The 13,140-nt window shown below is 53.5% G+C and overlaps 1 protein-coding gene across 3 annotated transcripts in view, besides 1 other annotated feature; it reads left to right on the top strand.

The window, feature by feature from the left end:
- The window catches only part of PRIMA1 (proline rich membrane anchor 1), a 70,697-nt gene that overhangs the window by 35,363 nt on the left and 22,194 nt on the right, over positions 1–13,140 (top strand). The gene's annotated exons all lie outside the window — the stretch shown is intronic.
- Positions 3,992–4,865: an enhancer, noted in NCBI's record as "H3K4me1 hESC enhancer chr14:94215113-94215986 (GRCh37/hg19 assembly coordinates)". NCBI's record gives its function as "activates a minimal SCP1, AML or CMV promoter by ChIP-STARR-seq in naive H9 embryonic stem cells {active_cell/tissue: H9 hESC(naive)}" and the evidence as "EXISTENCE:reporter gene assay evidence [ECO:0000049][PMID:30033119]".

Genomic DNA, 13,140 nt, shown 5'->3' with positions numbered 1-13,140 from the left:
TAGCTGGGTCAGTGAGCAACATCCATTGGTTTTTGCCCCCTGCTTCCACCAGAGAAAAATAAGGCCATAGAAGCAGCGCCTGCTCCCTGCTCCCAAGTTTCTGTGTCATCCCTGCCAGCAATCAGAGAAGGCCAGAGGCCACCATTTCCTGGAAGAGATGTTGGCCTACCCCCTATCCCTGTACCATCTGCCCCTCCCAAGAGTGAATGGGTTCCTTGTTCTCAGATTTAGAATGAACTGGACCGTGGGTGGCAAAGGCCCATTGTCTCTGGACTTGGCAGAGAGAATTATGGATGCCTTGGAAATAATGCCTTGGCTTCTTCTTGGACCCTGTTACAGACAGTTCCACTGCACAGCCTCTGAGTAGCCAGGGGTCATCCTGAAGGCAGTTGGCTTGGAATCTCAGAATGTCCCAGCTGGAAGGCCATCCAGTTTAACTCCTTCAATTGGCTGGGATTGGTGCAGTGCACTTGGGAGGCCAAGTCAGGCACTGTTGGCTGTGCCTGTGTTGGACGCATCAGTCTCCACCAAGTGCAGAAGCCAGGAAAGAGCCCTGGCCATCTTCCAGCCCTGTGGCTCTCTTAGTTTCCCAGGGGACATCTGGTCATCGCAGCTGGGGGAGGGGTGCTACTGGCATGTAGTGGGTAGAGGCCAGGGATGCTGCGAGGCATTCTATGGTGCACAGGACAGCCCCAACCATAAAGAACTATCCAGTCCAAATTGTCCACGATGTCGATGTTGAGGATCCCTGCCCTAGCCCAAGGTCACCACTCCCATTGGGCAGATGGGCATTTGATGTCCAGAGAGGTGAAGTGACTTGCAGATGTCCAAAGGGCTTCGATGACAGTGCCATAACCCAGGTTGCGTGCCCCGGATCTTCAGACTGGGCTGCTTGTCCAGACAGAGAACTCAATTTCCAGGCAGGAGCTGGCTGCCAAACCTGCCCAAGTCTCGGTGTGCCCTATCCTTGGACAAGCCAGCGTCACAGAAATTGTCTTTGGATATTGCACTGGTGGAGTTCTCGTGGGCCTGGGGCCTGGCCCTGTTTCACCACAGTGGCCCAACTGCCCATTGAGGAGGCTGGAGCCGGGGCAGCCCTCTGCTTGTTATTTTCAGGAAGATATAGTGAGTACTTAGTACTTTTTAGATTCAGGTGTTCCACTCAACAAGCCACGTGGCTGCTGAAAGAGAGAGGGAGTGAGGGGCCCCGCGTGGGGTTGGAATATGACCTGGCATGTTTCCAGCTCAGCAGAGCGTTGGCTTGCCGGGGGCGGGGGGGTCTCCCTCCTGCGGTCTCCCAAGCCCTGACTGTGACTTTACTCGCAGCTCTGTGACTTTGCTTCTTTGACCTTCGGAACCCTCAGTTTCCTTATCTATAAATAGTTCTAATGATACCTGCCTTGCCTGTTTGAGGGGGAGGGATCTGAGAATCAAATAAAAGAATCTAAGGAAAATGTGCTTTGAAAGTAGGTAGCACTGGCAGGATCCGGGTGGCTGTCTCCATTTGCTTTCAGTAGGGTAAGAAAACGGCTCCTGGCTGCCTTTCTGGAAAGAGAAGCGAGCATCCCACCTCCCAACACTCTGGACGGCCCAATACACTTTCTGCGATGGTGGAAATGATCTAGGTCTGTGCTGTGCGAAATAGTAGCCATTAACCACGTGTAGCTATTGAGCACTTAAAATATGGCCAGTGCAACAGAGGAACTGAATTCTTGATGTATCTAATTTTAAGGAGTTTAAATTTAAGTAGCCACATGTGGCTGGTGGCTACTGTATTAGACAACACAGCTCTGGACTGTCAATACGGATATTGTTTTCTTCAATACTACGTATGGTTTTGTCCCAGAGCCACAGACATTTCAGGTTTATTCCTTTTTTAACAAAGACCAACTGAGCAGCAGTGATTCTTCTCAGCCGTGTCATCATCCCTTTTTGGTCCCAACTTGGACTCAAATCATTCTTAGCTTAACCCTACAGGACCCTTTTAAACAGGACTTAGGCTCTGTCCAGAGACTAGCAAAGGGTGGTCCTGGGAAGGAGTCATCTAGAATGTGGAAAGTTCACATGCATCTCATTGGGATATAATTTCATCTCTTGTTTGATGCTTTAGAAGGAGGCCAGGAGCTTTCAGCATCTTGGTAACCTCATGTCTGGGGTTCCTGATGTGGAACCTGTCCTCAGACCCTAACGCAAGAATTTTTAAATGAAGTGCTCCCCAGGAGAGACTGAGGAGGCAACGGAAGTGGTAGGGTGGAGCAGGGGGGAAGCCGAGTGAAAGCACCATCTCAGGCCAAGTCCTGCAAAGGCAATTTCAGCCTATAGTTGTCCCCAGCCAGGCTGTCACACTTAGCACCTGTCAGTTACTGGTGGAGGATGCTCTGCAGGGCATGGGACTTCACTTCCTGGGCTCCCCACCTTGTGCATAGCCACCCTGGCAGCCCTAGTGCAGACCCTGAAGAAGGGCTGCAGGTGCCCGAAAAGTCAGACGTGTAGCTTCAGGTGACGCTTTTCTGCCTCCAGAGCAGAGTCCCTGCGTCCCGGCCAGCAGGTGGGAAGCAGCTCCCCCGAGCCTTCCAGGGAATGTTGTCACCCTTTGACGATGGGAAACTGAGGCTTGTAAAATGTAAGTGCTTTGTCTGGGGGTTTCTTAGTGGGTATGGTGTGGCCAAGTCAGGATCCAAATTTGTGCCTGTCTTTCTGCTGTGCTTTGCTTTCTGACCACATTGTCACCATGAAAACTCCGAGGCAAGATGGAGCCCTGTGCCCCATGCCCAGAGACTTCCACCTAGGCCTTGGTGTGACATTTGGGGTAAAGGGCCTTTCTAAAAATAATACGGAAGGAGTGGGTTGTTTACTTGCAAAATACAAATTTGTGGTATAATTTCAGGACACTTTCAGACCACTCTTCTAAGCTTGTCTAAGAATCTCAGGTTAAGACTCCTCTAAATTAGGGGTAAAAAAACTTTCTGTAAAAGGCGAGATAGTGTATCTTAGGCTCTGCAGGCCATACAGACTTCCATGGACAAGGTGTAAACAAATAGGTGTGTCTGTGTTTCAGTAAAACTTTATTTATAAAACAGGTGGTGGGCCAGATTTGGCCTTCAGATCAGTGTCAACCACTGGTCTAAGTTGACCCTGAACCCCTCTGCAAAGTGATTACAACAAATTAGACAGAGCACGTTCTACCTGATGAAGCATTCATGAGGGCCCCGTCATGTTTGTTTTGAGACAGGGTCTTGCTCTGTCACCCAGGCTAGAATGCAGTGGCATCATCATAGCTCACTGCAGCCTCAAACTCCTGGGCTCAAGCCATCCTCTTGCCTCAGCCTCCCAGTGCAAGTCCCAAGTAGCTGGGACTACAGGTGTGCAGCACCATGCCCAGATAATTTTAAAATTTTTTGTCGCACTATTTTTTGTCTCACTATCCCAGCAAATTTTTTTTTTTAGACGGAGTCTCACTGTATCTCCCAGGCTACGGTGCAGTGGCACGATCTCGGCACACTGCAACCTCTGCCTCCCGGGCTCAAGCGATTCTGTTTCTCCTGCCTCAGCCTCCCAAGTAGCAGGGACTACAGGCATGTGCCACCATACCTGGCTACTTTTTTGTATTTTTAGTAGAGATAGGGTTTCACCATATTAGCTAGGCTGGTCTCGAACTCCTGACCTTGGGTGATCTGCCCGCCTAGGCCTCCCAAAATGCTGGGATTACAGGCATGAGCCACTGCACCCAGCTTACTTATCCCAGCTAATTTTTTAACTTTCTGTCTTGCTATGTTGCCCAGGCTGGTCACAGACTCCTGGGCTCAAGCTATCCTCCTGCCTTGGCCTCCCAAAGTGCTGGGATTACAGGTGTGAGCCACTGCACCCAGCCTCATCACCTGTTAATTAAGTGCCCCCATGAGAGAAAGCAATCTATTGAGCATCAACTAGGTGCTGGGGCTCTGCTGGGCGTTTAATATATACCATTGGGAGCATTCTCCCTTCCCAAGGTCACGAGCTCTCACAAGCAAAGATGAGCTCATTACGTTCAGTCAGCTCACACTGGCTCTCCATGTCAAGTCATTCTCATTTTTGTTTGTCAGCTTCCTGTTGTTGTTACCAAAGTCACATGTAGTTAAGTGTCTCGGTGAGCTGGGAATCAGTCTGCATTTACTTGGTGATGATTTAATGAATGTCCAATTTCCAGTAGATTATAAGCGTCATGAGGACAGGGTCCATCCTGTCCCCAGTGCTAGCATGGTGCATGGCACACAGCAGGCTCTTAACAGATGTGTATTGAGCGAATCAGTGAGTGGATTCGCAGCTGAATGAGGAGGAGTCATCAAGGCAGCGAGGGTGGGTGGGCACAGTTCTGCATGTGGCCCCCTCTCGTTGCTTCTCAAAGGCACTGGGCTGCCCTAAAGCTGGCAAGTATGCGGACCTTCTGCGCAGCCGTGCGTCTGCAGCCCTGGTGGGAACAGAAGGCCTGGCAGATCTGGGGAGGGGACCAAGGGCCAGGACAGAAAAAGGGTGGAATGCAGCTACTAAAAGAGAGTAGATGCTGTTGAGTAACAAGGCCTTGCCTTAAGGAGTCTAACAAAGAGGGCTATTTGGGCAAAAACAAGGGGGACGTGTTCTCCAGTCGCTACCAGAAGCGTAATTAATTCTATCAGGCAGTGTCCTGCTGTTCCCGGCTCCTGCCCCAGCCTCCACCCAGACCCTCCCTTGCACCGGGAAAAGCTGAGGCTGCCCCCACCAAGAGACATAAGCCCGATTCATAATTTTCCTTTCCTAATTAGGCACAGGAATGATGGAGACAATTATTAATAATGTATTGGGGTTTTTTTTAATGTCCCCTCAGGAGCCGAGCCTGAGAACAGTGCCCTTGATGATAAGCAGCCAATCTGCCACCACACTGGGCTCCGCGCACAGAGCACCAGGCAGAAATAGATAAGCCAGGGGAGCAAGTGGCCCGCAGAGCACAGGCTACAGATAAGGAGCCATAGATGGAAGGGCACAGAGCCCCTCACCCAGGGCTCAGGAAGGGCCTCGGCCACCAGCCAGGGGGGCAGAGAGGCTCCCGGTGCCGCTGCCTGTGTCCCCCGTTCCTTCCTTTGCTGGCACCTTCTCACAGGACTGCTCCTGCACCCTGTCGGGCTCAGCTTGAACGTCGCCTCCTCAGAGAGGCCTTCCTGATGCCCAGGGTGGCCCTATCGCCCCTTTCCACACACTGCGTTGCTCCCTCCAGTCCCCCAAAGCGTCTCTCCTGGCCGTTTGTCACATGCGGGGACTTGCCTGCTTTGTGTCTATGCAGCCGTCACAGGTTGGCCCTGGGGCCAGACTGTCTGGGTTCAATCTCAGTTTCGTCATCTGGCCAAGCATTGTCCTTGCTCCCTGTGGGCCCCTCACCCCTCTCTCCCTGCTCTCACTTTATCACACACACCGGGCACAGGCCCCCTTGGGCTCAGCTCTTCCCCCTCGCCTGGGCCACAGCCATCAGCACTCACACAGTCTCTCACACTCATGCACACTCATTCACACACATACACATTCACACACTCATACGCACTCACACACATACACATTCACACTCACATACACACACTCACACACTCCCACACACAGTCCCCCACTCTCACACACTCATATACACTCTCCCACTCAGTCCCAACTCATACTCACACACTTATACACACACACTCATACACACACACTCACATAATCACACTCCACACAGTCCCCCACTCTTACACACTCATACACACACTCTCCCACTCAGTCCCCACTCACACACACTCATACACACACTCATACACTCTCACACACAATCACACTCCCACACACTCAGTCCCCTTACACTCTCACATACTCATACACACACTCTCCCACACACTTGCACTCCACACACTTCCCACTCGCACACTCATATACACACTCATACACTCACACACTCATATGCACTCCCATGTACTCTGTCACACACTCACTCTCACACACTCATACACAATACTCCCATGCACTCACACACTCCCCCACACACTCTCACACACTCATACACAATACTCCCATGCACTCACACACTCCCCCACACTCACACTCTCACACACTCACACACTCCACCTCCTGCCTTGAAATCCTTCCCATGACTTCTCCCCCCAGATATGGCTCCACGATGCCGCTCCCTTTTGCAGCAAAACTTGAACCGCGAGTTGTGCATCCCCACCATTTCCATTTCCTCTCATTCTCTCTTTGACTCCCCGAATCCGGCTTCCTCCCTCCACTCCCGCCAAACCACTTTTCAGCGGCCAGCAGCAACTGCCACGTGGCACCATCCCATGGCTGGCTCCCAGCCTCGCTGTACTTGACCATCAGCTGCGGTGGACACACTTGACCTCCCCTCCTCCTGGACGTCCCTTCCTGACGTGGCTGCAGGACCGGATGGCTTGGGCCGCCTTCCTCACAAGCCTCCCCTGTCACCCTCCTCTGCACCTCCTCATGTTGAGGTGCCCCAGGGCCAGGCCTTGGCCCTCTTCTCCCCTCTGCCTACCCTCTCCCACTTGACAACCCCCTCCAGTCTCAGGGCTAGGTGCTGGCCACTGCCAAATGCCTGCCTCCAGTTCTCGATTCTCAACGCAGAGTCCGGCCCCAGCTGCTTTCTCACTGTCTCCCGTGGTGTGTGACAATTTCAGACTTCACACCTGACCTCCACACCCGTCCCAAAGCTGCACGGACCCAGTAATCTTCCCCATCAGTTGGTGACAGCTTCCTCCTCCCACAAGCACAGCCCCAAACCCTCAGAGTCATCCTTAGCTCCTCTCTGTGTCTGCTGCCCACATCCACATTTCCATGAAATCCACCTCGAGAGCATTTCCAGACTCTGACCTTTCCTCACCGCCTCTGCGGAGAACCCTGAGTCTGAGCCCCGCCATCTCGCTGCTAGGTTATCAGCAGTATCCCCGCAGCCTCCCGCCCTTCCCCCACGCCACACACCCAGTTTAAACACAGAGGGACTGTGCTGACCTGTAGGTCAGAATTCACCACCCTCTCTTAAGTCCTCCCCATGGCCTCCTTATGGCATCCCCATGGCCCCATGTGGTCCCATCTCCTTCTAGTCTCCCCTCGCGACTCCCTCTAGGCCACACTGGCCTCCTTCCTGCTCCCCAGAACTGCCAGGCCCACACTCACCTCCGGGCCTGCACTCCAGCCATTCCTTCCCCCAGATACCTGTATGATGAACTCCCTGCCGAATTCCAGTCTTTGCTCCAGTGTCTCCTCTGGAGACTGACCCTGACCACCGTGCGTCACACTGAGAGCCCCCCAACCCTGCACCCCAGCACCCTCAGCCCCCATAAGCTGCTCAGCTTTGGAGTAAAGGACACAGCAGTGTGCAGGAGGAGAAGCCACCTCCTCTGCATCTCCCTTAAGAGCTGGGAAACCATTCCCAGGAGCCCCCAGCAGACTTTTCCTCTCCTGTCCTTGCGGGAACTCTATGACCTCTAAACCAATTAGGGGCATAAGTACTGGAACAACCAGGCCCGGCTGCGACCCCTGAAAACCGACCTCCTAGGCTGAGCCCGCCTCTCCCAAAGCCTAGGCCCTCTGGAGGGTGGGGGATATAGGAGGGGAATCAGAGTTCTGCAGGGAGAAGGGGAAGGATGGGGGCAGCGGCGGAGGGGTGTCTGCTGCTGGCTCTCTGATCGTGTCTCTCACGTTGTCTTTGCACCAGCTCTGAGGAGGCGGTTCTGTTGCCTTCCCCCGACTTACAGTGGAAGAAACTGAGATTAAATCTAACAGAGTCAATGACTTGCCCAAAGTCAGGATCTGGATTTTAACTCCTGGTACTTCTGATTCAAAGCCCGTGTGGATAACCACTGTGCTGAACTGGGCAGCTGATGTGATATCCCAGGAAGGAGGGGCTGGCAGGGGGATGGGACAACCGTGATAACCCAGCAGACCCAGCACAGGGCTGGAGTCAGGAAGAAGGTGGAGAGGGGGTTGAAGGGAGCAGCCACAGGATGTGGCCACTCAGAGGGCAGAGGGAATGCCCAGGTGGGGGCCTGAGCCAGGAGGAAGGCACTGCCCCAGCGGTATTGAGGAGCGTGGGGCAAGGAGGCCCCACTCCCTGCTGGATGCCTCCAGCACAGGGGGCCCACCAGGCTGGGGCTGGGGGCCTGAAAGGCGCTGCACACACAAAGCAGTTGCTGAGAAGAGGTTGAGGGCAGAGAGGATGTTTTCAGGGCCACTCGTACAGCAGTGAGGGTGGGACCCGGGGCTCTGACAACTCTCCCCATGAAGCTCAGCGAAGAGTCCAGCCTGGCCCACCCTTGTGGCTTGGGCTGCTCTGGAGCCCTGAGACCGTCCTGGTGGCATATTGAGGTCTGACTTCCTGCCAAACCACCCACCACAGGCTGACCAAGGCGTTATGCATATCCACAGGCCCACTGTTCCTGTCTATGGTGGGTGAGAGGGGGGACGTGCTCAGTGCTGCCGGCCACCGAAGCCCAGCTTCCTGGGGCAGGAAGGGGCATGGTTGGCATGCAGGAGGCAGTATGGGGGAGGTGGGCAAGAGACAGACTGCCCCAAAACAGGCCAAGCCAGCATCACTTCCCGGGGACACTCCCCTCCCACCCCCGCCCCGGGCTACAGGCTGCAGGGCAAGAGACCCGTTTAGGCTACAGTGCCCACAAGCTGCTTCCCTCCTGCACAGTAGAGAAGGGTGTGTCCCTTAGTTTTGGAAAAGGCAGGCCACTGAGGCACCCCCAGGAGCTCTGTGCCCCAGGGAGGCTAAATGCACCTCCCTGGCTTTCTGTCAAGCATGGGCCAGGCACGGGTGCCTCTCACCTGTGGTTATGGGCAGCCAAGAGCTTCCTGCTGTAGGAATCCGTGATTGGAGGGAGGAATTGGGGAGACTTATGAAACAGGGGGTCTCCATGCTAAACCCAGAAGCCTGAGCCAAATTCCCACTGGCAGAGAAGGCGTGGGGGGGCCCTGAATTGCAGGCGCACAAGGGCACCGTGTTCATCCAGTCACATCCCAAAGGAGATTTCTCATTTCTCTGTAGAAATAGGGGCTTGTTGCAGAGGCTGGCCAAGGCATCGAGGTCTGATTTTGTATTTGTGGTTTTCAAGTGCGGCCCACATGCTCTGGTTGCCTTCGGGGTGAGGAGTGAGTGAGCAGCCCCGCACCCAGGCTGGCTCTCCAGACCTCCCCCAGCCGCCATAGGAGGTGGACGCCCTGGCACCGGCCTCCGCAAGGGCACCCTGTGCCCAGGAATGGAGAGCAGTGGCCTGAGAGGCGGCCCTTGTGTCCCTGAGACAATGGGACCCGGTGTGGGAGCAGGCACCGCAGAAGAGTGGCCGGCCCCACCCCCACACCACTCCTTCCTCAGTGGCCTTGGGGCTGGGGGCCCTGAGGCAGGGAAAGGGTGGTCAGCCCAGAAGAGACTTCTGAGAAACCGCGTCCTTTGTGGTGCTTTGGGGGGCAGTTCATAAATGAGGCTGAGAGACCAGAGGACCTGGGTCTGGTCCCTGTGTGGCCTCGGGCAGGGTCCTCCCCTTTTTGATCCTCAGTTTCTGCCTCTGTCCAAAGGGTCTACAAAACAGACTCTGCATCACACAAATCTTTAGCAAAGCTCCGGCCCCCACACTGTCCTTGTGAGACAGACAAAACCAGCGGGCGCTTCAGCAAGCTGGCTGAGGCAGGGCCGAAGAGGACACACGTTCCTAAGTGCTTTTCAGCGTCCCGCCCCCTTTCAGCGCGCACCGAGTCCCGTGCATTTGCACTTTTCCGTGACATTCTGGACAGTTTCCTCAAGACACTTTGGTGGGCGGGAGGGAGTGGTGCCAAAGGGGACCCCTGCACACGCTGAGGACCAGCGGTGCCATGAGACTGTCCCTGAAGCAGGGCTGTGACTCCTTTCACCTCTGCTCCCCATGGCCGAGTCACCAGGCCCACACTGGTTTTAAGACAGAGAAACAACTCCCAGCCCAGGTGCTTCTGCCTTCGGTTTCCCACAGCAAAGGCTGAACTTAACCTCGGAGTCTTGGGAAGCACATTCACCGACATCGGCTCCTTGAGGGAGATGGAGGTTGATCTCTACGGCACAGGGGGGTCCTAGACAAGTGGCACTAGACTGCATTGTCAGCGGTTGTGACCCGCCTGATGGGCCCGGAGCTGGGCTGCTCAGGAAGCCGGAAGCAGAGACAGCAACTGCAGTGACAGCTCCCACCTGACTACAATCAAGGCCAGTGAAGCGCCAGGTCCTTTCAGCTCCTGGGGAACAGTCAGGAAGCTGCTCATGCAGCCCAGGGCTTGAGTCCCCAAAGACTTGGAAAGTTAGGAGAGCCATCTAATGATGCCTCTGAGGCCCAGAGGCCCCCAGCATGCCCATGGTGTCACCAGCAATGTCTGGTACTCAGGCTGTGCTCCGGAACCAGGGAGCCATGGGGGCGAGTGGGCTGCCACTCACAGGGTCAAGAGACCCAGCAGTGGATAAAGCCTCCATCTCACAGTGGAGAAGCAATTTTAAAACCAAGAACATGGCTCTCACTCCCCTCTTCTAGACTCAGACGGCATTCCTATTTAAAGATATCTTGCAAAACCGAGATTGTTTCCAACCTACTCGCTATCTGTTTGATTCATTCATCCCTGGCTCTGTTCCCTCCTGTCAGTCCAGCACCTCCTGTGTGCAGCTTCTCTCCAACAGCTGGCTCTGACGGGGAAAGCTGTTTGCCCGGGTCATACATTAGTATGTACTGAGTTAGCTGTGAGTACCGTCGCAAGGCCCCTGGCTGTGTGGCCTGTTTCTCCACTTCTGAAAGGGGAATATAACTGAGCTATGCGCCATTGTGCCTAGCAGTGTCTTGAAGTCTTTCCTACTCCTGGTACCCACCAAAAGGCTGCCTCCATCATCTCCTCTGATAGTCACAAAAACCCTATGAGGACGATAGGGGAGGCATTTGCCACCAAGAGTACCTGGAGGGCTTGTCTGACCTCACACATTCCTTTCATGCATTGGACCTTGGGTGGGTCCACACGTCCACCTCCCCTACCCTGCCCAAGGGAATTTTCTGGTCTCCTTGGTCTCCTTAGCCTCCCTGGACCCCATACAGGTGGGCACATCCAAAGCTACCCACCCCACCTGCTTCTTCTGCAAACATCCATGGGACCTCTCTTTTCTATTTATTTCCCAGCACTTGCCACGATGTGCCATTATATATTTATTGGTGTATTTGCTCACCACTGGCTGCTTCTACTCTTCTCAGAGTTCCCCTGGGGAGAGACCTCATCTGTGTTGTTCACTCTCTGGACTCTCAGCTGAATCTCTCCAACTTATGGAGCTGGCCAGGCCCTGCGGATTCTCTCTTCCTGCACTACTGTTTTGGAAACTCTCTCAAGGCAGTGAGCTGGGCCTATGGTAGGACTCACCTCATTTGTTTCATCGTCTCTTGGGAAATCAGTGTCTTTGGTTGCCTCTTTTAAAAACCACTGTTTCAAATCTTTGGTATGGTTTTTGGATGTTTCAGACAGGAGGGCAGATCTGGCCCCTGTTACTCCATCTTGGCTGGAAGCAGAAGTCCAAAGCTTTTAACGATGCATCTCATAATGAGAAGACAGCTGCTCCTCTGATGAAGCAAAACTGAGCCTGGGCAGCTTGCAGTTGCTCTCTCTGGTTGCCAGCTTCATCGTCTTTACAGGCGTCAGGAGTGTTAAATGAATACAGCGGACAAAGCCTCACTGAGCCTCGGGGAAGACAAGGTGTTGCGACCCCTGAGATGTCAACTCCTGCCTTTCTGTTGTGTTTGCAGAATCTTGGCTGGGAGGTAGAGGGGGTGACAGAGGAGGCAGAGAGCCCAGGTAGCCTCAGTCCTGGAACTTGGCACTCTCTGATTGTCTCAGCCTCCCTGTCTGACCACCTGTCTCTCACAAAGCATCACCCGCATCCCTGAAATAACCTTCACCTTCTGTATTAGCAATTCATGCGTGCCTCTTCCCCCGGAGACTCCTGAGCAAGATGATCAGGTCTTAGCTTTGTAATTAATAATTCATGGGGCGGCTAGCACCAGCCCTGGTAAAGGCATAGTTTACGTCTGATTTATCTTTGTACTCCCAGATCCCAGCACACTGCCAGGCACCGAGGGTGCTCAGTTTGCTGGATGAACAAATGACTGAATGAGCACCTTCATGATGCTATCTTCTCAAATATGAACCATCAGTCTGTACACATGTAAGCTGTCTTAGCACCTCCAGAAAGAGGTGCTGGCCACACCCCATGGGAGGGAAGTTCAGGCAGGGATAGACCCAGCTGTAGCCCAAAGATCAGGGTCCCAACCCCGGCCCTTGGGAAAGTTGCTTCTTGATCCTGGGACTCCATATTGTATTCTCTTTTCTGAAATAACACCTCCTAGACTTCCTCCAGCTCCAACATTCTCTAATTGACTCAAGCAAGGATAAATAAGCATGCATTCTTTGAACACAACAGCTGGCTTTCTGAGCAAAATCCAAGATGTATGCCTTCACTAGGTTTCACAAAATGCCTCCCTCATTTCATAGCCGTTAGTGTTTTTGCCTCTGGTAGTTTTCTCATACACATGCGGTGATAAGTGTGCTTGCAGAATATTAGAGGGGACCCTGTGCAGGATACTGTGAACCATGGGCTCACTGCTTTCAGTATCAATTATGTTTGAAAAGGAATAGCAAAAGAAAATTCCCACTTAACTAACAGAGAATGTAAAGAAGAGAGGCACTGTGAAATTTAGTGCCAAATTCCCTATGAGGCTTATAATCAATCAAGTTGATGAAATTTCTCAACAGGGGCCCTGTTAGTATTTTTCAAGGGACAATTCTGCCTTGTGTGAGAGTATCCAGTTCATTGTCATTAACATCCGTAGCTGCTGGGATCACACATTGCAACAACCAAAGACAGCACCCACTCCGATATTTCCAAGTGCTTACTGGAGGGGGTGTGGCAGCCCCTGGCTGAGACCACACACTGGTAGCTCTGTCCCCAGCCACAGGAGTGTCGGTGTGACTGTCTGTGGTCCTGGACCATTGGTGGCAGGCATGGCCCTGGGGTCTCTCCCAGAGGTGTCACAGCCTGAAGAAGTAGAGCCATGGAAACCAAAATTGCTTCCCTTTGTGGTGAAAATGAGGAGGTAGACC

The sequence above is a fragment of the Homo sapiens genome, chromosome 14 (assembly GCF_000001405.40).
Source record: "Homo sapiens chromosome 14, GRCh38.p14 Primary Assembly".
In the NCBI taxonomy this organism is placed as follows: domain Eukaryota; kingdom Metazoa; phylum Chordata; class Mammalia; order Primates; family Hominidae; genus Homo; species Homo sapiens.
This window is presented reverse-complemented; position numbering and strand designations above follow the sequence as displayed.